Raw genomic sequence first — 25,194 nt, forward strand, 5'->3', positions numbered from 1 at the left:
ATTTTTATTATAATGTTGCAAAGAAAAAAATAATAACTAAAGAGGCAAGTTAGTTACTTGGTTAAGGTCATTCTGGGGTAAATGATGGGAGAAGGACTCAGATGCTAGCCCTGTGTTAGTCATTAGAATGATAAAATAACAACAACAATAATATAATATTAACAATAATAAGAAAATCTAACTAGTAGATTACTAATATTTTCAGTGTTGATGGGTGGGTTAGTTTCAAAATTGAGTAATTATGTGCAAAGACATCTTTTACCATCATCCAGATAATAAAACACACTAGTGGCATGTATGTGTTACACATATGTGCACATATATATGTACAATTGTTCAAAGGATGTAGCTATATACTTTACATGGGTTCTATGGGTGATCACTTTTCTGAATATGGGCTGCATCCCACAGCTAGTCCTGCCTGCTTTCTGTGGGTGGCCCACAGCCTTTTTTTGGGGAGTCTTTTTGTCCAGCTGATATTTTAAGGCTTCGTCTTTCTGGAGATTAGTGCAGGAGGAGCACACCTCATTTCCTTAAATGGGATGTATGCTTGGCTCTTCATTCCACATATAACTGTGTGGGAGCATGGGGATTCACTGCATCAGCTTGTCAGGTGAAACATTATCTCAACACGGGCGTTCCAAATGTGTGTCTTTGCCTAAGTACTTCAGTTTCTACATTTGAGAAATAATAATCTCCTGTCTTACGTGGCTGTCATGAGTTTTAGCTCATGCAAGCAATTATTAAAAAAAAACGGTCTTGCGAAGGTAAACTTTGAAAAACTATCTGTTCTATGCAGTGGGCTAATCTTGAATTTAGTCCTAGCATCATTCACAGTTATACTGGTAAGTTTTTTGAATACTTTTCTAACTTTAGAATTATTATATCTACATTCTGTGAAGATATTTTCTTAATGTGTTCCTTTCAGAATTAAATGCAAGCATGCGTCCCCCTCCATGACAAAAATATGAATTTTATAATATAATATCCTGTAAAAGCTGACCTCTCAGTTCTCTTTGAGATAATTCTACTAATGTGGAAATCATGTGAAACAAATAACTAAATCATATACAAATATATTTTTCTGAGCCTACTTTTTATGAAGAAATAAAAGAAGAAAGGAAGGAAAGACGAAAGAGAGGAAAGAAGGAAGGAGGCAAGGAAGGAAGAAAGGAAGGAAGGGAGGGAAGGGAGGGAGGGAGGGGAGGGAGGGAGGAAAGAAGGAAAGAAAGGCAGACTGACACATTTAATATAATTTAATAATAATACATTTATAAAGGAAGAAAAAACAGTGTTCAAAAGTGAAACTGAAAGAACCAAATTAAACCTTTCTTTTCCTCTACATAGTTCCCTCCTAGGCTTACTCTAACCAAGAAATTGCCATGGAGGCTTATTTGTAGGGGAATCGGCAGAGAGCATTTGGTCCAGGAGAATTTCAGCTCTTGCTTAATTTCTAGTTAAATCTCTAAGATGGGGGGACGATCGCCCAAGATATTTCACTTAAAACAATGTGAAGAGGTCTCTCGCAAACTGTTTTCTCTCCAGGACTCCCATCTCAGATGAATACTTAAAAAACGATGCCTGGGCTGCACTATTCCCCAATTTTACCTGCTTAAAAAGAAATGTATAACCTGCACACTGACAAAAAGTTCTTCCCTGCGTTCTTGGAATGATAAATTATTCAAGTGGTGTGCTCCGGAAAGAGCCACCAATGAGTTTACTATCTTGTTGCAGTAAAGATATTTTCCTAATCTGGAGACATCTAAAAAGGTTCTTGAAATATGTGTTTATGTATCATTTTGAAAAAAAATACATGTCTGTGTGAGTGTATGCTTTGTATTATAAGCTTCTGGAGGATAGGAATCAAATCTGGTTAATTTGCTTTTAGGGGTACTTTATAAATTTTGGATACTTTTAAGTGAAAATTGTTTTTTAAAATAACTTATCTTGGCACAGAAACATCAGTAAAGTTGCATAGCCATATATTTTTCTCATATCAAGAAAGAGTATACATAACAAAACACAGGTTTCTTCTGCTATAAGTTATCACACCATTGCCCCTTTATCAGTTTGGGGGCTCCCTGCTACTGAACACCTCAAAATCTGGCCAGAAGTCTAGAAATAGCTACTACTATTCTCTTTTTGTAAATAAATTCCCATAGATCGAGTCAAAGGAAAAAGTGTGTTTTTCATATGTGAGTAATTTTCACTGACACACATTTCCCTGCATAGGAAGACAGTACTAATGTAGCAATCTGAAAGTCCTTGTGATGAAAGCGTGTGTCACCATGTGCAAACTGTGAAATGTAATTGAAAGTAAAATGTTTAATTAAAATGGACATTTCTGAGCCTGCTTCTGGCAGCAGCCATCTTGCTGAAAAATTATATTTGTTACACCGTCAACCTGGGAGAACAGTTCAAGAGATTGTGAGTGCCAGGTTTCATCCAAAAGTAAATGGGGTGAAAATCGGAAAGAGAGCTTAAATGCTGATCCTTTTGTAACTGTGCATGTCTCCAACACATGTGCCCTGGTACAGACCAGTCAGAACAAGGGGACCTGCCACGTGTAGCTGTTCCTAAGTCAATATTAATTATAGCAAAGCATCCTTTTCTGTCCAAATAATTGTCCCTTTCACTCACGTCAGCAAGTTTCCTTAACAATTGGGCTTTCACGTACCGTGCAGTCATTGTACAGCTTGAAATGTGAGGATACTCATCATTTCCAAAATTATTTCTCCATTGAGACCACTGGGATCTTCTTCCACCACTCCCCAATAAGAGCCACTGATCCTAGATAATTCACATACTTGAGTGGAGATGAGCTTCACTGATGTCTTCAGTGCAAATGTGAAAACTGAATTGGAAAACAAAATTCTGTCTGGCATCCAAAGGGCAGCTTCTTCTGCCTTGGGTTTCCGGTATCAAAGAGCCCCTGGCCTGAATGGGCAGGTTGGATCATCCAGGAAGTGTCACAGTTTCCAGAAATTTCCTTCTTGGAGAAAATTGTCTTTGACATTTTATAAAGGGCAAGTGAAATAAACTTTCTCTTCCATCTCTCACTTAATCCTCTAAAATCTCAGTAGCCAGTAGTGGATCCCGTGATAGAACAGAATATGTGTACTGCTTCATAAAGGCAGAAGTCCCAACTTTTATCCATTTTTCAATGTTATTAGGCTTACTTGCGCTTTTTATATGTCTACCTGCTCCTGAGTCCAGCGACCATCTCCAAAAATGAAGAAATGAAACAAACCAACAAATAGATAAATAAAAGATCTGTAAATGTAAAACCCGTTAAAAATGTAAATAGCCAAGTATTGTGGAATAAATTTAGAAGATTTGATCACTGTTCTGTAAATCATGATTTGGGCATGAAAAAAACTCTCATGGTCTAGATCCAGCAGCCATGACATTTGATCATTTTTCCCTACCTGACCTTGTTTAGTGAGCTCTTTCTCAATAATATGTTCTTTATTGCCGAACGAATGCTCTTTGAATTTACTTTCTTTATGATGTGATTAAAAATCTTCATGACATCCCTAATGATTCATCTCTTTTGGAGCTGGGCAGAAGGGTAACAATTTCTATAATGCACACATTTCATTTAAGGTGAAACCAGAAGGAGATTTATCAATCAGAACAGCGTTTTCAATGTCGTGAGAGGTGAAGCCAGCTGGACTTCTGGGTGGAGGGACTTGGAAAACTTTTCTGTCTTACAAGAGGATTGTAAAATGCACCAATCAGCACTCTGTAGCTGGGATTGTAAAACGCACCAATCAGTGCTCTGTAGCTAGCTAGAGGTTTGTAAAATGCACCAATCAGGACACTGTAAAATGGACCAATCAGCACACTGTAAAATGGACCAATCAGCAGGACATGGGCAGGAAAAATAAGGGAATAAGAGCTGCTTACCCCAGCCAGCAACGGCAAACAGCGCAGGTCCGCTTCCCGTCTGTGGAAGCTTTGTTCTTTCGCTCTTGACAATAAATCTTAATGCTGCTCTCTCTTTGGGTCCATGCCATCTTTAAGAGCTGTGACACTTACAGCCAAGGTCCGGGGCTCCATTCTTGAAGTCAGCGAGACCACGAATCCACCGGAAGGAGCAAACTCTGGACATGGTAGGGTGAACTGCAACCATTGTAAACGAATCTTCGGCACATTTTCTGCCTGAAACATCCAATAACCCTTTAAATAGGAGGTTGCTTTTAATTTGTACATGATCTAGACCACGATATTTTTCCTCTGACAACAAATGTAAAATTTAGCCTAAGCCATAATATGGAAATTTTTAGTGAATATGGAAAGATATTAGCTAGATTATTTTACGTATGTTAAGTAAAATAGACTACTTAATTTGAACTTAGATTAGTGGTTGTTTCCTGGGTTTTGCCATTTATCATTAAAATTTTTAAAGAGATTTCAGGGATGCTAAGATGAGAAATCCTCTTCTTTTTTGGGGGGGGGGGGGTTGGAATTCACTTTAGTGAGCCACCTGCTTCATACTATTAACAATATTGCCCACACCTTTGACAAGCTTTCAGTCCTAGATTTCAATGGCCTCAGCAAGGTGTTCATGATTGGAAAATCCTGAGTCCCATGGGGTAAATATCTCTCCCAAAATGTTCTAGCTCCACAGTCTTGTGAAAACAGAAAACTACATGAGCAGATTACAAACCTATTCAGGAGAAGCCAACAACAGGGGAAGAAAGCCTTCTGCAAAAATACTTTTGAACTTCAGAAGAGGAGGCACATGCTCCGTCCACGAAGCTACAACAAATAGAAGTTTTTTTTTCTTTACAGACATATGTAGAACATTTGTTTCCATTTTATTTCTGCTGTCATAATATGATGGTTTTATTCAGTTTTTAAACATGCTTCAGCTGGAAACACTACATCTTTAAATCAGGCAACCCTGGCTTCAGTGTGAATTCCCTTGCCGCACTCCCTCACCTTACCCAGGTGCATGTTAAATCAGTATTAATGACAATATCATTCTTGTGCAGTCATCTCCTGCCTGCAATTTGGTTTTAATTACCCGCCGCGTTGTCTTTCCCCCTCACTGACAGCCATTAAATAGGGAATGACACCGGAGCCATAGTTGTGTGGAATATTCACTTCGCCAGATTTCATCCCCTTCATAAAGCAGGCTGCAGTGCCTCCTAGTGGCAGAGATCAGAAAGGGAACGGTGGACTTTCTGGGCACTCTGTAGGTGAATTTGGAGATCTGGGCAGATTTGTAACTGCAATGACTATATTTAAAGAAAAAAATAAAGTTTAAAGAGCACATATTAATTAAAGGACAATAAGTGCGATTTGGTTAAGTTGTTTTAGAAATTGATATATAGCAATAAATCGATGCACTATTTAAGCCTTGTCTGACCATCTATAAAAGTGAAAATGAGGATTCAGAAACAACAAACTTGTGGAATAAAACGTAACTGACAAAGTTCTCAAGGCCAGTTGTTCAACAGAGGTGAGCTGCAAGTGCCCAGTGAGTTAGAACTTCAACCGTTTCTATTTCCTCTTTCGCCACAGCACGGATCTTCTTGTTTTCGTTTTTGTTTTTCTTTCTTATTTTCTCTTTTATTCCATTGTACAAAATAATTTTATATATGATCTTAAAACATTCTTCTAAACTACAAATGCATAAATGTCTGTGAACAGTATCTTTTGTGTACAATTAGGTCCTTAAGTGTTTTTTTTTTAAACAAAGTTTTTCCTTAAAGAGGAGTTTAAAATTAAAATTATTTGTCTAAATGTTCAATTTAGACACTGTGCAGATGCTCTGGATTGAAGGTATTCATAAAATGGCTATCACGTTTTGAATCTTTGAAAATTTTGGTTAAATCTGCAGGCATGTGCTTTTGCAGGAAGGACGCTGGACTCTTGCACTATAAGTTGAAAACATCGCTTATAAACAATACATCACAGCACACTTGCAGAGAGAGCACTGGTAAGATATCACATTTGGTTTTTACTTTCTGATTTTTCTCTCTACCAACTTTTTGGTTTAAAGGTTGCAGATCTATGAGATGCTCTTTCACAGTTGCTAAGGCTGTTTCGTAGCCTCTTTCAACAAGCATAATTACTCATTTTACGTGCTGCTAAATGAGAGTCATAGCTAACTGCTTTAATTAGAATTTTAAGTATACATAGTATATGCAATAACTTGTACATACATTTATTGTGTGCATTTGTGTTTGTATGTGCATGTTTGTAAAAATCCAAACATAAAATAGAGAAACCAATAATTATAGTGCATCTCAGTCATTCCCCATTCACCAAACGAGCAGGGCAATGATAAACATAAATTCATTCGCGGTTATTGCTGCATATTTTAATAATAACTTTATATTTTTATATGAGACTCTGAATATTTTCTTGGTAAAAAGGGAAGTGCCTTATAGTAAACTAAAATAATTTTAAGCAAATTATATTGGTTAGAACTTGATCTTGAATTAAAAAAGCAAAGACTTTGGAATAAGAACTTTTTTGCTAAATGAGAATCTTCAGATTGCCTTATAAACTGATTTTTAGTACCTTTGATAGCATCACTAAAAGAGTAAAAGTATTACTCCCTTTAAAATTTAAGAAATTAACATTTTAGAGGGAAAATGTGCTCATGTGATTCATGCTTTTCTTTCAAAGAGAACAATATTTGGTCTTTTGAATGTTGCCTGAATTGATTTGATTTATTGTTTTAAGGAATATTTTACATCATTAAATAACAGCTAGGAAAATGGTTATTCCTTCCAGATTGAAATGGGAAGCTCACAAATGCAACGATGACGGCTTAATCTCTGATACTGCTTACATATATTGGTTTACAGCTATATTGAGTCCAGTTAGACTGATTTTTTCACTCCTAATATGAAACTTGATGCTGGGAAATCTGATAAGTGAGTTTCATTTCCCTGGAAATTTATTGCTTCTGCATCCAAGTGCAAAGAAATAGCACAAGTAAAAACAATGAGGAGTCTGTGCGCAAGGCATTAATGAGGACCACTGTTTTCTCACAGAGATTCTGCATTGGGAAAAAAGAGGTTTCAAGCCATTAACATTACAAAACACGCTATTCCTTTTAGAATCGATATCGTTTTCTTTGTCAGAATGGTGTAATATCAAATCAGCGTATTGTTCAGGCCTGTTAGATCAAGAAAGAGAAACATTATAAATGACGAGAGGGTGTTCATGTGCCATTCTCATGGCGCTTGGTTAGAGAAACGACCGAGTGGCCTGTGTAGTGGGGCAGCGCTAACCCTCAAAGCCCTTTGCTGGCTATAACCCCACCTCCTCTCGACCCTCTCACCTGCAGCTTCTGTCCCAGAGCCCTCACCCTTTTCATCCCTGCAACATGCTTTGCACATTCCCATCGCCACTGCGTTGTCTATGCCTATTGCTTGGTGTGTTACAGATGGGATAACAGAAGCTGAGGAACTTTACAGAGAGCAAACAGTATCATTCCATTAATTAAACCAATGACTAAAATCGTTCAGTAACTATAAAAGGCTAGGCATCATGGGAGCGACATGACAACAATATTAATGATATTTATTGAGTGTCCTCTGTATGCCAGATCCTTCACATAAAGTATCTTACTTCCCAGCACTTTGGGAGGCCGAGGCGGGCGGATCACCTGAGGTCAGGAGCTAGAGACGAGCCTGGCCAACATGGTGAAAACTCCATTTATACTAAAAATACAAAAAAATTAGCTGGTTGTGGTGGTGGGTGCCTGTAATCACAGCTATTTGGGAGGCGGAGGCAGGGGAGTTGTTTGAACCTGGGAGGCAGAGATTGCAGTGAGCTAAGATCACGCCATTGCATTCCAGCCTGGGCAACAAGAACGAAACTCTGTCTCATTAAAAAAAAAAAGTATCTTACTTTATACTGATAGCAAATCCATAAGGAATGTTCAGACTGTGATGTTGAGGCCCTGAGGGGAAAGACTTGCCCAAAGCAAGGCCACCAGTGAGAAGAGGTTGGGCTGTGAGACCTCATCCGACAGCCTGACTACAAAGTTGATCCATTTTTTAAAGAACTGAACAGTGATTGATGATTTCAAGAACTTAGACTGGCAATTTGCATATGTAAAAATGAGAACTGATGTGATACCAGGTGTAAACGGCAGGACATATAAGATAGTAAGGGCTGAAGCCATCTCGGTCAGGGAGAAAGTCATCGTCTGCTAGACATGACAGGAGAGGCTCAAATGGCACAGTGTGGGTGTGTCAAAATGTGGGAGAAAAGGATTCCTAGGGGAAGGAGGACCAGGGATGTGGTCAACTTGAGAAAACTCATGCACACGCATACACACAGACACGCACAGGCACACACTCAGGAAATAGGGGTGGGGGCATACGTTATTTGGAAAGAGAAAATAAATTAGTCTCATTGAATAATTTTTTCTTTTACGACAGTGTCTCTCCAGTTGGTTGTGCCTCAAATGGCAAAAGTTGCTTTGGGGTTGGGTTGGTTGTTCACTTCATTTGGTTGGATAAGTTCGAATTAACTGAAATCAGGCCAGTTTCTTTAATGCAGGACTTCTCAGAGCCTTTATTATGTTAAGTACAGTATGAATACTTAGAGAAGCTTAGAATATGTTTCTCGATCTAATTGGACCTCAATTTTAATTTTGTTATAGAACTCTGTGAGAAAAAGCTTATAGACACGTTGTAACAAACACTGTGGCCAAGAGGATAGGTGATTAGAGCTAATGGACGGGAGCCCTTAAAGGCTAGGTAAGATAGACTTGATCCTGTAGGCAAGGAAAAGCCACCGAAGCTCTTTGCAAGGGGAGATGATTTTTTACTATTATTTTAATGATAGTTCCAATTTCCAAGGTTGAGACAGCAAGAGTAGCATATTCTCAAACCCTGTGGGGCCAAACTTGTCAAAACAAACACTATACACTCCCTTCTTGGTTTACATAGTCAGCAAGCATGCGCTTTGCAATGATGTTATACTGGAATTAGTCCAAACACTGTGGTTGGAAGTAACCTGCACTCTACAGGTTCTATGGAGTACTGGGCTGATATTTTAATCTTGCTGAGTATTAAAGAGAACAAAGAAAAGAAGCTGGTGTAGATCACTAAGCAAAATCTCTCAAAGGTTTTTGAGCACATATGGCACCTCACGAGAGGAAAACAGGAGTTGTGAGCCCAAGTAAAAACTAAGGCTGCCTTGGGGAGCTCAGACATGTGTTGCTCTTAATTAATATTTGCAGCTGTGGATTCTGAAGGTTCCAGACTTTTCCCCAGAAAATAATTTTTCTAAATATTGCACTTGTCCATGTAGATTTTTAAGAGCTTCCAAGAGTATAGAAGTGCAGCAATGGTTGTTATTCTAATGATGTTATCAGATACTGAGCTGTAGTGAAACCTGTAGATGCTCAAGGAATGATAAAAGGTGGATGTGTATAGAGTAGTCACATGTGTCAGGGACTGTTCCAAGCACCTTCAACCTATCTGCACATGTCATTCTCATAACAATCTCAGAACAAGTGCTATCAATTATGCTTGTTTTCCTAATAAGAAAACTGAGTCATAGGTTAAATACTAATAGTATGCCAAGATCTTACAACTAGGTAAGTTAGAGTAAGATGGAGTTAATTAGAGTTAGGCTTAGTTGGGGCTGGATAGGGTTAGTAAGTGTCAAACTCAAGCAGTCTGACCCAGATCCGTTGCCCTTAACTACTCTCAGCCACATGCTGGTTAAGGATGTGGTTTACGAAGACTTCCCTGTCCCTTCTGTTTTGATAATATAACATTAATAATAGCTAACAGATTTAATCATGCACCAGGAACTGTATTAAACATTTAACTGTTTATCTTATGTAATTCTTATAACTGTTGTATAAAACATGCCAACTTATTAACCCCGTGATATATATGAGAAAACTGAGATACAGAAGATTGAAGTCCGTACTGAAACTCACACAGCTAGTAAGAGTTAATTCTGGAATATGAATCTAGATCTGACTCCAAAAACAGTTGTCACAACTACTTATTCTGTGTAATCATAGCCTTTGGAAATTTGTTAAATAAATTACAGATGAAAATCCCAGATCAGATCTTGTATTTCATGCTTTTCATTTTCTTCCTTTGCCAAGGAAGACTGTGGAAAAATATTGTTCCTGAATCCCTGTGCTTTTGAGAGCTAAATAGGTGTACCTATGATTCATCTACAACATTCATTATGACCTTTAAAAATAGCTCCTTTCATTCACTTCTTTTAAAAAAATGTTCTAAATAAACAAAAATTATACATGGATGAATTTTTTTTCCTCAAACACTAATAAAGCTCAATTGCCCTATTTATATAGCATTTTTCCCTGTATTGATCAAGACAATTGAAAGAAAATACATATGCAAGAATGGCAGGTTATATATAATAATATACCAGTTGAATACTCCAAAAACTGAGAGTTAGAAATACCACAATCAAAATGGAAGATTTGTACACTCAAATGATTTCTTACATTGTCATTTTTCTTTGAAGAAATAAGTTAAATATTTCTTTATGAACTATTTGCCACAAAAGGAATTGCTAATAAGTAAATGCTATACGTAATCTATCTCTTGAATTAAAATTTTAAACCATTTACAGTGAGTTTTCTCATTTTCTTTATGTTCTTGACAACCTTTTCTCCAAATCATTGAAAATGTTGGTATGGGGCTTTCAGATTCTGATTTTCCTGTCTGTAATAAGTGTATTACCATATGTCAATATTTCCCTATAATGCACTATCATTAAGCAAAATATTAATATTTTTATCATCAACCAACTTTTCATTTTCAAGTATGTTTGGAAAGCTTTGAATACCAGTTGATTTTTCTTTTTATTTTTAAATTTCTTTTAAATTTATCTTCTAAAGGTTTATAAATATTTTAATTTAAAAAATTGACAGATAACATTGTATTTTTTGTTGTGAGCCACATGATGTTTTGAAGTATTTATACATTATGGAATGGTTAAATCTATCCAAGTAACAAATACATACATCTTCCCATCCTCCCGTGTGCTCTAAATCCCCAGTCTCTGATAACTATAATTACACTCTGTTTCTATGAGATCAACTATTTTCGAGTCCACATATGAGAAAGATCATGCAGTATTTGTTTTTCTGTGCCTGGCATATTATACTTAGCATAATGTCCTTCAAGTTCATCCATGTTGTTGCCAATGGCAGAATTTCATTATTTTTTGTTGTTGTTGAATTGTATTCCTTTGTGTGTATGTACCACATTTTCTTTATCCATTTATTCATCAATGGGCACTTGTGTTGTCTCTATATCTTGGCTATTGTGAATAGTACTGCAATAAACACGGGAAGGTGGATATCTCTTTAATGTACAGATTTCATTTCCTTTGGATATATACTCAATAATGGGGTAGTTGGATCATATGGTAGTTCTATTTTGAATTTTTTGAGGAACCTCCATACTGTATTTCATAGCAACCGTATCATTTTACATTACAATCAACAGTGCATTTTACATTACAATAAACAATTCTAAGTTCTCCACATCCTCAGCAATACTTGTGTTGTTTTCCATTTTGTTTTGTTTTCATAATGGTCATGCTAACAGGTATAAGGTAAAATTTTCTTGTGGTTTTGATTTTTATTTCCCTAAGGACTAGTGATATTGAACATCTTTTTATATTCTCATTGGCCATTTGTGTATCTACTTTGGAAACTGTCTATTAAGTCTAGTGCTAATTTTTAAATTTGACTAATTGGTGTTTTTTGATGTTGAGTTATAGGAGTTTTTGCGTACTTGTGAGATTTATCCGTTATCAGATATGTGGTTTGCAAATTTTCTCTCATTCTGTCGGTTGCCTTTTAACTCTGTTGATTGTTTTGCTTGCTGCACAGAAGTTTTCAAGTTTGGTGCTATCATTTATCTATTTGTGCCTTCTTGCTAGTGCTTTTGATGTGGTAACCAAGAAATCATTGCAAAATCCAATGTTACAAAACTTTTTTTTCAACTTTGTTTTTCCCTAGGAGTTTTATGGTTTCAGGTTTTGAGGCCTTTAATCCATTTTGAGATAAATGTTGAATATGGTGTAAGGTAGGGTTCAAATTCATTCTTCTGCAAGTGAGTTCTACTGCTTGAGAAGTATCACTTTAGTTCACACTAAATATTCCCCGAGTAAATATCTACTTTAATAGTACTATAGTTGTATTTAAAATAACATTAATTAATAAACACATTAAGAAACTAGACATGAACAAAAATATCTAGAGTTGACTTATCCTTTATAAACTCCATTTTCTTCTTGAAAACAGGCACAATACAATAAGCAATTGCATTTTCAATAACAAACTCAAGCATTACGAATATACGTTAACTTTCCTACAGCTATTTGTTGAAGAGACTATTCTTCTCCATTACAAAGCCTTAGCAGTTTGTCAAAGATCATTTCATTATAAATGTTAACAGTTTTTGTAAAGCATTTTTTTCTGTTTTGTTTCATAGACCTATTGGTCTATCTTTATGCCATTACCATACTATATTGATTATAGTAGCTACGTAATATGTTTTGAAATTAGGAAATACGAGGGCTCCAGGTTTTTAAAATTTTTCTCAAGATTGTTTTGGCTATTTGGAGTCATTTTTTTTATTTCTGCAAAAATGTCATTGGGATTTTCACAGAGATTGCATTGAATCTGTAGATGACTTTGGGTACTATGTGCATTTTAAGAATATGAAGTCTTCCAATCCGTGAAAACAGGATGTCTTTCTATTTACTTATATTGTCTTTACTTTCTTTAGGCAATATTTTGTAGTTTTAGTGTACAGGTGCTTCACCTTCTAGGTTATAGTTTTTCCTAAGTATTTTTTCTTTTTGATACTATTATAAATGAATATTATTTTCTTTTCAGATTATTCATTGTTAATGTATGGAAATGTAATTGATTTTTGAATGGTGACTTGTATCCTCAACTTTGCTTAATACAGTGATGCCATTTGGTCCTGTGCTTTTCTTTGCGGGGGAATTTTTATTATTATTACTGATAAATTACTCGTTCGATCTCATTAGTTATAGATTTTTTATTTTTATCTCTTCATGATTCAGTCTTGGTTGGTTGTATGTTTCTATAAATGTATCCATTTATTCTATGTTATTTAATTTGTTGGCCTACTATTGTTCATATAGTTGTCTCTTATGATCCCTTTTCTTTCTTTTGCATTGGTTGTAATGTTTCCTCTTTTATTTCTAACTTTTGCTAACTGGGTCTCTACTTGTAGTCCAGCTAAAAATCTGCCAGTTTTGTTAAACTTTTCAAAGAACACACTTCATTTTATGGATTTTTAAATTGTTTTTCTATTCTTTGTTGAGTTTATTTCTGCTCTATTCTTCATTATTTCCTTCCTCTGCAAACTTCGGGTTTAGTGTTCTATATATGTCTGTTGGTCTAATTTGTTCATAGTGTTGTTCAAGTCGTCTATTTTCTTGTTGATCTCTCTGGTTGGCCTATCTCTTATTGAAAACAGGGTATTAAAATTTCCTACAATTATTATGTTGCTGTCTATATATCTCTCTATTTCTGTCAATGTTTGCTTCATATATATAAGTGCTCTGCTATTAGGTGCATATATAGTTACAATTGTTATATCTTCCTGGTGAATTAAACCTTTATAACAATATATTGTACTTCTTTGTCTCTTGTGATAGTTTTTGACTTAAGGCCTATTCTGTCTGATATAAGTATTGCCAACCCTCCTCTCTTTTGATTAAAATTTGCATGGAAAAATCTTCCATCTTCTTGTTTTCAACCTATGCATGTCTTTTTTATTTAAAGTCAGTCTTTTATAAACAACATATAGTTGGATCTTGATTTTTTAAAAATTTATTTAGCTACACTGTGTCTTTTGATTGATGAGTTTAACCCATTTATACTTAATTACTGAATTATTATTTCCATTTTGTTAATTGTCTTCTGTATGTATGGTATTAGTTTGGTCCCTCTTGTTCTCTCTTGCTGTCTTCCCTTGGGTTCATTGATCCTTTGTAGTGTCATGCTTTTATTTCTTTCTTAATTGATTTTGTTCATCTTCTATAAGTATCTTCTTTGTAGTTATCATGGGGATCCCATACAACATCGAGAATTGTAGCAATCTATTTTAAAATGAGAACCGCTTAGCTACAATTATATACAAAACTACTCTTTCAGATCTCCTTACCACATACTTGTTACTGATGTTACAAATTACATTTTAAAAAATATTTTGTATTCATTAACATTGTTTTACAGTTGTAGTTATGCTTATATTGCTTACATTTTTTACTTGAATTAAAAGTGCTGTATGCAACACCATTACAATATTATAGAATTCTGTATTTATCTCTATATTTGGCTTTACCAGAGAGCTTTATGTTTTTCTGTGCTTTTATGTTGCTACATAGTGTCCTTTTTGTTCAACGCCAAGGACTGTCTTTGGTAGTTTTTATGTAGGTCTGGTAGTGATGAACTCCCTCCACTTTTGTTCATCTGGGAAGTTATTTCTTTTTGGTTTATGAAAGATAGTTTTGACAGATACAGTTTTTATGTTTGGCTGCAATTTTTATTTATTTTTGCCTTTTGAATGTATCGTCCCACTCACTTCGGCCTCTAAAGTCTCTGCTAAAAAACCCACTGATAATCTTATGGCAGCTCCTTTCATGTGATGAGTTGCTTTTCTCTTACTAGTTTCAAGTCTCTCCTTTCACTTTTGTCAGTCTGAATATAATGTGTCTTGATTTGTACCTATTTGGGTTTTTCTTAGTTAAAGTTATTTGAGCTTCTTGAATTTAATGTGGTCTGTTTTCTTCCTCACATTTCAGATAATTTTGGCCATTATTTCTTCAAATAAACTCTCTGCTCTAATCTTTCTCTCTTCTCTTTCAGACTCTCACATAATGTGTATATTGGTCTGCTCGTGGGTGCTGGTACATCAATTAGACTTTCTTTACTTTTCTTCATTCTTTTTTCTTTTTATTATTATGACTTGATAATTTCAAATGACCTGTGTTAGAGTTTACTGACTTTTTTTTTTTTTTGCTTTGTGAGATCTGCTGTTGATCTGCTGTAGTGAATTTTTCAATTCACCTATTTTATTTTCCAGCTCTAAAATTACTTCGCTTTTTCTCATGTAGTTTCTATCTCTGTACATATTCTCATTTTGCTCATTTGTGGTTTTTCTGATTTCATTTAGTTGTCTATCTGGCATTCTCTTGCAGCACACTGAGCTTCTGTAAAGCAATGATTTTGAATTCTTTTTTAGATAGTTTGTAAATATCAATTTCTTTAGAGTCAGTTTCTAGAGATTTAGTTTGTTCCGTTAATTGGGTCATGTTCTCCTGTTTCTTCATGTGTCTTCTTATTTTTTGTTGTAATTTTTTTATTTGAAAAAACAACTAACACTTCGAGTTTTTACAGACTGATTTCATACAGGGGAATACCTTCATCAGTCAGCATGACTAGAGATTCAGAGGGCCTCTCAAACATGTTATGGAAATGCATTTTCTCTGAGCTTGTGCATGTAATTTCCAGATTAGAGAGATTTGCTGGTTTCTTTTTTAGGAGTTTGTGGGCTCTTGCTCTCTCTTGTGTCTGTCTGTGGTACTGCAGGTTCTCCAGAACTATATGCCAAGCTCTCTTTTGTTCTTTGCAGTCCCCAGGCATTCAAACTATGACAGCTCCTCATCAGTGCCCTAAGTCACATGAGACAAAAATCAGTCCCTTAGGTAGCCTCTTAAAAAGCTAAAAAATTGGACATATATTCGATTCTTCTCTTTCCATCTCATTGTAAAAGTCATTAGCAGGATACTTTTTCCCAATTGTGGTGAGCTGTTTTGGCCTTTGTCTACAGTGTGACAAGTACTGGCACTTCTGGCACTGCAAGAAGCCACTGAACTCTCTTTTGTACTAAGTGGCTACCAGTTATCCAAAGTATTTTGGTTCTATATCAGTACTCTGAGTCAGGTGAAAAAAATACCAGTCTCTTGGACAACCTTCCAAAAATCACACACACACACACACACACACACACACACACACACACACACGTTTTCTATTCCTGTATTTTTTTCTTTAAGCTAAATTAGAAGATGATTAGTTGCTTCAGGTTACAATTTATATAGGAATATTTTAAATATTTTTAGAGAAATATATTCACTTCATTAATGGATTTGGAAATAGATTCCTGAAATAGAAACTTGAAAAAATACTACACATTTACTTATTTAAAAAATCCATTTTATATTCTGCTTTGTTTTGAGAATGTAGTTTGAGTACAAACCAGATTATTTCTGTAAATATGGAGAAAATGTTCATCTTAGTGTATCAAATATAGTGAAAGAAACCAGAATTCCACTGCTTCAGAAGTATCACTTAAGTTCACATTAAATATTTTTCTGAGGAAATATCCAGTTTAATAATGCTATAGTTATATTTAAAATAACATCTTAATAAACATGATAAGGAACTAGAAGTGAACAAAAATATCCAGAGGTCACTTATTCTTTGCAACCTCGATTTTCTTTTTTTCTTTGTGTGTGTGTGAGAGACCAGAATTGTTTAAATACTCAAATCAATCTCCCCAAGCATTAGGGGAGCAGAGTTTTTAAGGATTACGTGGTGGATTGGGGGAAGCCGGTGAGCCGGGAGTGCTGATTGTTCAGGGATGAAATCTTAGGGAGTCAAAGCTGTCTTCTTGCGCTGAGTCAGTTCCTGGGTGGGAGCCACAAGATCAGATGAGCCAGTTTATTGATCTGGGAGGTGCCAGCTGATCCATCAAGTGCAGGCTCTGCCAAATATCTCAAGCACTGATCTTAGAAGCAGTTTAGGGAGGGTCAGAATCTTGTAGCCTCCAGCTGCATGACTCCTGAACTATAATTTCTAATCTTGTGGCTAATGTTAGTCCTACAAAGGCAATCTAGTCCCCAGGCAAGAAGGAAGTCTGCTTTGAGAAAGGACTCTAACCGTCTTTGTTTAAACTATAAACTATGTTTCTCCCGAAGTTAGTGCAGCCTATGCCCAGGAATGAACAAGGACAGTTTGGAGGTTAGAAGCGAGATGGAGTCAATTAAGTTAGATCTCTCACTGTCTCAGTCATCATTTTGCTATTGCGCTTTCGGTCCCTCCCTTTGGGTTTTATAACACCTTAATCTTTAGGTGTAGGCTATGAAGATGGGAAGAGGCTGTTGATCACTCTAGATTTTTCCTGCTTACAGGGGACATAGCGGGAATGGGAGTGAACCCCAAGGAGAGAAGAGTAGACCTGCTTCACAACTGTCTGAGTGTATTTATGCAGGCTTGGCTGGGCTTGCAAGGCTTGTGTGGTAAAAATATACTTTTATTTATGTTTCAGGATGATATTTAAGTAAACAGCATGTTTATAAGATAAATAACGAGTCCTAGGATGAGGACTACAATTCCCAATTTTAAAAGCAAAGATTTGAAAACATTAGTTTGGAGACTTCTAACCCACAATGAATTTAGAATTTAGTCTAAACTGCAGAAAAAACCTTAAGAACGGTTAACAACAGTGTACTTCAGTTTTTCTTTTGAAGCATACTTTTGTCTCCCTCCAGTCCCCATTTTTATTAAAAACAAATCACAATAGAACTGATTTGTTTACAAAAGAAACTTTAGTCTTACTGTATTTGGCCTGATTATTTGCATAAAGTGCAGCAAGAATAATTATTTTTTACTTAGGTTTTTTAAATTGGCTTTGTTAGAACTCTGTTCCATGAAGAATCTCAGATAACACTTATTAAAAGCCGAGCCCAGCCATGGGTCTGTACCCTCAAGTACCTATGAGTTGGGCAAATTCCTCTCCTCTTGAGGTCCCAAGGTAACTTGGGGTTCCTGGGCCTGTTAGAAAGTGACATTCTTTACTTACCACAGGTCAGGAACCTTGTACAGGTTCCTGTACAGGTATCTTGTACAGGTACTCTATGCGGACAAAGTATGAGGCCAGATGCCCCAATGGGCTTTAATTGGCTCTATAAGTCAACTTTGATTCTTTAAAGGAGGCATGCCATTCCAGTCAAAGCCTTGGTAAAATAACCAATTTCTCCAATTATATCCTGTTACAAAAGAAAACAGATTCTTATTGCACTTATGCAATTAACTGTACTGCCATAAATTGAGAATACTCACAAATAGTTTCCAAATTCTGGAGAAATCAGGTAGAGGGGAACAAATATGCTCCAAATTTTGTTCACAGGAGTATATTTTACTCACTTGTTAAAGTTGCAAATAGCTTTAAAGAAATAAGTTATCTTGACTCTGAAAACAAAAGGATCAGCAACGTTTAACACATCAGATCTCCATGAGACTCCTAGAAGTTTCATTTTTTCCTCTATTCAAATAGCACAATTTTTAAAGTTGTCTGAGACCTGCACTCACAGTCCTATATCTGATTATAAACTGCCTTTTGAAAAGGATCAAAACAAGACAAAATGTCTGTGGATGACAAGTAAATAGCCCCTATTAAAGCTACAGGTGACTAGGAATTTTGGTTACTTCTGTGGCATACAACAATTTTATATAACAATTATTATTAATAATGTACATTAAATCATATCAGAATTATAGAAGTTTCCCATAAATTTTGGAACACATACTAATAATATAATATTTATACAAATACAGTCCAAAGAAAACCAAACACCATTCACTCTTCTATTTGAAAGTTTTCCCTCTCTTCTAATGTCACAATCTCCAGAGTTATTAGTCAGAATCCTGCATTTAAGAGCACCTGTTAAATTTTATAGCTGATTATAAAACCATCTTTTAAAGAGGATGAAAATGAGACAACAATTGTCTGTGAATGACAAAAACACTTTTAGGCCAGCTGCAGTTAAAGACATGGTTGACAAGTAAATTTTTTACCTCTGTGGCACACAGTCATTTAACATAATAATTATAATTATTACAGATAGATAACATATACTAAGTCATATTAGAATTATAGGAGTTTTACTTAATTTCAGAACATACGCCTATAACACATTTACACAAATATAACCCAAAGAAAGCCAAACACCATTTCATATTTGGCAGTGCTTCCTGTATGATTTCTATACAAAATGAGCCAAATGTCATTTTTGGACTTTAGAGAACCTAATATCTAAAAGATTAGTCCAGAAAGAGACATACTTTATAATTTGATTTTGGAAAGTTTGTCAAATATCAAAGGTTTAAAACACTTGATATCACAAAATAGAATCCCAGGTTACCTTAAGTCATTCATTTTGGCCAAAATGATAACTCTAAATAAGCTTTAAAAAAGAAAACCTTTACTCTAGTAGAGGAGACTTAGCTTTCCAAGCAACATCCAATAAAGGTAGCATGAGGCTAAATTTGTCTTTTCTCTCTCCTCCTTTTTTTCCCTGCCATTTACCCATGGGAGAGAAAGCAAAAGTCTTTCATTATCTTTTAATGTTACACAAAAATCGTCTTCAAAAGAGAAAAACAAATTTCATGTTTGCATTAGTGCATCCTTAACGTAAAAGCTAGTTTTTTAAATAAAATTTTGTATCTCTGTCCAGTTTTAATTAGTTTGAACATAAGATTTCAATACACTTTTTAGATCCCTTTACAATTTTCCATCAAACAGCAGGTCAATTTTCTAAGAAAACCCTGTTTTTCGGACACATGGGCCCAGATTCTGGCCTTACAACATCATTATCTTAATGTTTTAATCTGCAGATAAAAGCTAAATAATTTCTTTTAAATTTTAGCCAATTTGTTTATACCCACAGAATTTTTTTATCAGATCAATCCTTTTTACAAATCCTTTTTACTTTGCTTAAACCTTCAGTTTTCTTCCGTTACTCTTTTAGGTTAAGACAATCTTTAAAACCCTCTGAACTAGACAAAATTACATTCCCTTTAACAAAAGCCATATTCCTATGCCTTCTTATAATCTTTTACCAAAAACACATTCCCTACACACCTTGTTTGTAAAATTGTCTCTCCAGTGGTCTCAATTGCATGTTACAATGTTAACTCTTAGCAACTTTTATTTTTAGTGAAAAACCTGATAAGTAAGTGATTTTAATTATGTACCAGGGATGGAGCCTAGGAAATCAGACAGAAATGAAGATAAAGTCTGACTCTTTTTAGCATATCTAGAGGGGATGGCTCTCCATATGTCCCCAGGCTTATCTATAATCTAATGCTCCAAAGTAGGTAAATCGAACAATTTTCAAAAGTCAAAGAAATAATTTGACCTTAAAGCATTTAGCAAATCTGATCTCTGACCTTAATTTAGACCAAATGTCTACATTTTCAAGGCTTTTTATTTACCAATAATCTTTAAAAGTGTCTTTATTTCCAAAAGATTACTAAAGTCACGAGAACAAAAGGCATTAAAGTTTCTATTTTTGTGACAAAATATTTAAGTGCTTATCTTTCTAAGCCAATTAATCAGAGCTCTTTTATATATAAATGCCACACACACACACAACACATACAGGTAGAAGATTTGGCATTTGCAAGATTTTTCATTTGCCAGTTTCTTAATTGGATCACTGGCTTCAGGGTGGAGCCCTTGGAGGAAGAGGGCCAGGAAAGCATTTCTGGGGCCAAATAAGCAGCAAATAAAGAGCTGAAGGCAAAGACAAACCCCCAGAGTTAAGTGCGCCATTTTATACTGGATCCTGGATCCCCAAAAGGAGGGAAATATTACGGGAGAAGACAGTGTGGTGCTTTTACCGACGGTGCATTTCATAGCAAGGCAACCCAAAGCTAATCAGCCCATTTTGTAATTAGACCATCACCCATGGGAGTCTCATCTCTCAGTGGGGGGTGGGGATGTTTCCATATCTTCCAGGTGGTCAAGAGCATGCTTCTCTGATCCAAGTGTGCAAAGAGTCAAGTGTCCCTTCATAACTACTATTAGGCATCCCCTATAGCATGTTTTCTACCTAGTTATTACACACCAAAGCTCTCATAATGAGAAGTAATTTTTGATACCCTAAAACCTCTTTCTCTTCTAGAAAATAAGCACAATACAATAAGTAATTGCATTTTCAGTAACGAATTCAAGCATTACATATTTTTGTTGATTTGAAAACACTTTGGACAAGGGTGATGGGAGGGCAGTGGCCTAAAAGAACTAATGAGGAAGCAGGAACCAGGGAGATGCCAAAAAAATTACTATCAGAAAGGATATTTGTTAAGTGACATCATAAACATGAAGTCAAACATATGCCATAGTGTGTAGATGACAATTCCAGGAAAATGTTAAGAATGTAAACAAACTTCATGGTAGAGTGGGAATTTCAGTACCACCATCATTAAACAATTTCAGGGGACACTAGTTCTGTGCAGTATAGTGTAAGTGTAGCCCTTTGTATCTGTACAACATGATGGCTCAAGCATAGTCCTATAAACAGATAGAATTTAGAGTAAGATTAGAAGCAGCAGGATCAACTAGGTGTCCTGGGGGTTGAGACAAATGCTAATGAGAACACCCGGGCGGAGGAGGTGATATGGTTTGGCTCTGTGTCCCAATCCAAATCTCATCTTGTAGCTCTCATAATTCCCATATGTTGTGGGAGGGACCCAGGGGGAGATGATTGAATCATGGGGGTGGGTCTTTCCTGTGCTGTTATCCTGATAGTGAACGGGTCTCATGAGATCTGATGGTTATAAAAATGGGAGTTTCCCTGCACAAGCTCTCTTTTTGCCTGTCACCATCCATGTAAGATGTGAATTGCTCCTCCTTGCCTTCTGCCATGATTGTGAGGCCTCCCCAGCCACGTGGAACTGTAAGTCCATTAAACCCTTTTTTTCTGTATAAATTACCCAGTCTTGGGTATGTCTTTATCAGCAGCATGAAAATGGACTAATAACGGGTGGTATGGCAGATTGGGTGGTAATACACAGGTAAAAAATGGTTTGGATAGGGAATATAGAGAGACAGATGACTCTAAACCATCATTGGCTCCTATGCAGTTTTGCTTTATTTGATTGTATCACAGTTCTGGATTTGGGTATAAGTCTTGAGAAGAGAATTGTAGAAATGCAAGTTGTTTCAAAATGTGTCTAAATCCTATAGAAAAATGGGGACTCATCAATGGTTTTTGCATATAGAATTACCATGACAATACCATTATAGTAGAAAAACTATTCTATAATGTAGGATAAATTTCAATGTAACACTGAGGTGGAAATTTAGGAGTTCTTCTGTATATACAAGTTTCTTTTCTCATTAAAGATTATCTTTATAAGGGTTAATGTGTATAATCCTTAAGATTTTTCTTCTTCTACCATTAAATAATGTGTTAGTAATATCTAATGTTTCAGTGATTACAATTTGGAGGTTATTTAGAGACCAGAAATGAGATGTTTAGGATCTGAAAGCAGTTAGTTTAAAGAAAAGGAACTGAACAACCAAGGATACTGAAATGAGAGTCAATAGGACTTGAGACTTTGAAGTTCTTAAGGACAGCTTAGAACAAATTAGAGGAATGACACTATTATCCCTAAAAATGGAAGTCATTGTTTGTGGGGTTGGGTATTGTAAATGAATCTGTTTAATGGTGAGATTATGTGTTGTAAACACCTCTTCACTGTAAACTGTCATTGTTCTAGAATCTTTAGAATTTACAAAATCATGTTTTAGATCATTGTGAACAAAATACTGCTTTTGGCATTTGTATTTCCTATCTATTGGCACAGTAATGCTGTAACAAACCACACAAAACCTTGTTGGCTTAAAACAACAACCATTTATTACTTCTCATGAGTCTGCAGGTAAGCTGGGTAGTTCTACTAATTGGAAGGTACTCGTTTGAGCTCAGTTTGTCCATGGTCAGCGACACATCAGAGACAGCTATCTTATGTTGGCCTCAACTGCAATGATTCAGAATTCTCCACTTGTCTAATACATCCTTTCATCAAAATAGACTAGATTTGGGCCAGGCGCGGTGGCTCATGCCTGTAATCCCAGCATTTTGGGAGGCCGAGGCGGGCAGATCACCTGAGGATAGGAGTTTGAGACCAGCCTGACCAACATGGAGAAACCCTGTCTCTACTAAAAAAAAATACAAGATTAGCTGTGTGTGGTGGTACATGCCTATGGTCCCAGCTGCTTGGGAGGCTGAGGCAGAGTCGCTTGAACCTGGGAGGCAGAGGTTGTGTTGAGCTGAGGTTGTGCCATTGCACTCCAGCCTGGGCAACAAGAGCGAAACTCTATCTCAAAAAAAAAAAAAAAAAAAAAAAATAGACGAGATTTGTCTGCGTGACAATTGCAGAAGACCAAGAGGAGTAGAGATGCAGAATTACTTTTGAAGACTCTGTTTATATGAAATTTGCTTCTGTTCTGTTGGCACAAGACACATAACCAAGGACAGAATTAGTGTGGGAGGGTATGACAAAAGAATGTGATACGGAAAGGCATTGTTGAGAAGACTGCATTTAATGTAAAGGCTTTCAGAGACTCCTCCTTTGTGTCAATAAAAAAGACACAGCATCAGATGGCTGTCATTATTTTGACATAGCAAAGGGCCCTGGAGTCTGTCAGTTGACTTCTCTAATCTATGGCCATAAACTCATTCTTGAATACTGGAAAATTTTTCTGCATTTCTCAAATTTCTTTCACTGGTATCTACAAGTCAATCCCATAGTCAAAATGAAGTTTGTAGAATGAATATATTGTGGGAATATTCTTCCACTCATTTTTACTGCCTCAAGTCATTTAGGTGGCCTTCTGTATATAGAAGAGTTTATTTTCCCATTGAAGATTATCTTTTCAAGGGCTTATATGTCCATTTTAGATCCTTTTATTTATTTCAAATGGTCAAGCTTAATTTTCCGTGGAGATTTTTCTTTTTCTAGCATTAAATAATGTATTAGTGATGTCTAGTGTTTAGGCAATGTATTATTTTTAAAAATGTTGGCATTATCTTCATTTTAATCTTGAATTTTTTCAGAGCTCAAAGTCATTTTTGATATTAACCATTGCTTTGAAAAAGGAATTCCATAACCACATTTACTTGTGGGATATCATGTGGACAGAATATAAAAAATTCCATCTGTACCTTTCCTTTTTTTTACCCCAGTATTAGTTTCAATGGGCAAGTATCTAACTTTCCAGAACTTCCTCCTCCACAATCTGTGGGTCCTTGAAGGTATAAGAGTAATGTTAGGCTGGGCGCAGTGGCTCATGCCTGTAATCCCTGCATTTTGGGAGGCCGAGGCTGGTGGATCACTTGAGGCCAGGAGTTCGAGACCGACCTGGCCAACATGGTAAAACCCCATCTCTACTAAAAATACAAAAATTAGCCAGGCGTGGTGGTGCACACCTCTGTAGTCCCAGCTACTTAGGAGGCTGAGGCAGGAGAATCTCTTGAAGCCAGGAGGTGGAGGTTGCAGATTGTACCACTGCACTCCAGCCAGGGTGACAGAGCAAGACTCCATCTCGATAAATAAATAAATAAATAAATAAATAAATAAATAAATAAATAAGTAAGTAATGTTGATTTTCTAAGGTTAGATGACATGTTCATTAGTCATTCTTATCTTCTGTGTCCTATCAGGGGAAAACTTTGCTACCTAGTCATTTTTCTTTAGTTTTACTGCTTTGTCTTACCAATATATGTACATTAGTGTTGGCAATAAAGTAAATGAGATTAATAATAATAATAATTTAGAAGAATACTTATAAAAATCCTAAGAAAGGGTTATATATAAACTAATGGGGTAAAAAGGGCCATCAGCATCCCAACACTCAGTGTTGTTATTCTTTCTCTTCCCATGTGGTTTCCATCTGTTGCTTGTGAATAATTTCACTGAGGTCCAGTTCACAGTAGGGCTAACTGAGCCCTTTAGAAGAGCCTGACCCTCAGCTGAGAGTTTGGGTCTAAGGTGTAAATTGTGGATCTGATTACGTCTTCCATCCTGGCCCAGTTCAGGAAATTAGAACCTGGCCAGCTGTGTTTCCCAGTTTGTAGGTTGCAGGCAGTTACCTGGCTCTCTCTCAGACAGCCTGCTGTCCTTTACTTGAGAGTAGACACAGATGTATCCACTAAGCCAGTTTTACCCAATGTTCAATCATGATTTTGATCTATCAGTACCACCTACCTTCTTATTTACTTAACAGTTTGCATGAATGTAAGATATAGAGTCATTTTTTACAGTATTTAAATGTATTTTTAAAAGTTTGCGTGGTAAGTGAAATGGAAAACAACTAC

At 36.0% G+C, this 25,194-nt stretch overlaps 1 long non-coding RNA gene across 3 annotated transcripts in view; it reads left to right on the plus strand.

Moving 5' to 3' along the window:
* The first annotated feature begins 3,922 nt into the window (after nucleotides 1-3,922).
* LINC02253 (long intergenic non-protein coding RNA 2253) overlaps nucleotides 3,923-25,194 on the plus strand; it is a 197,799-nt gene continuing 176,527 nt past the window's right edge. For all 3 annotated transcript variants that reach the window (NR_183855.1, NR_183853.1, NR_183854.1), the window contains exons 1-2: nucleotides 3,923-4,115; nucleotides 5,852-5,950. This is a non-coding gene — a long non-coding RNA (long intergenic non-protein coding RNA 2253). The remainder of the gene's footprint in view (nucleotides 4,116-5,851; nucleotides 5,951-25,194) is intronic.

The sequence above is a fragment of the Homo sapiens genome, chromosome 15 (assembly GCF_000001405.40).
Source record: "Homo sapiens chromosome 15, GRCh38.p14 Primary Assembly".
In the NCBI taxonomy this organism is placed as follows: domain Eukaryota; kingdom Metazoa; phylum Chordata; class Mammalia; order Primates; family Hominidae; genus Homo; species Homo sapiens.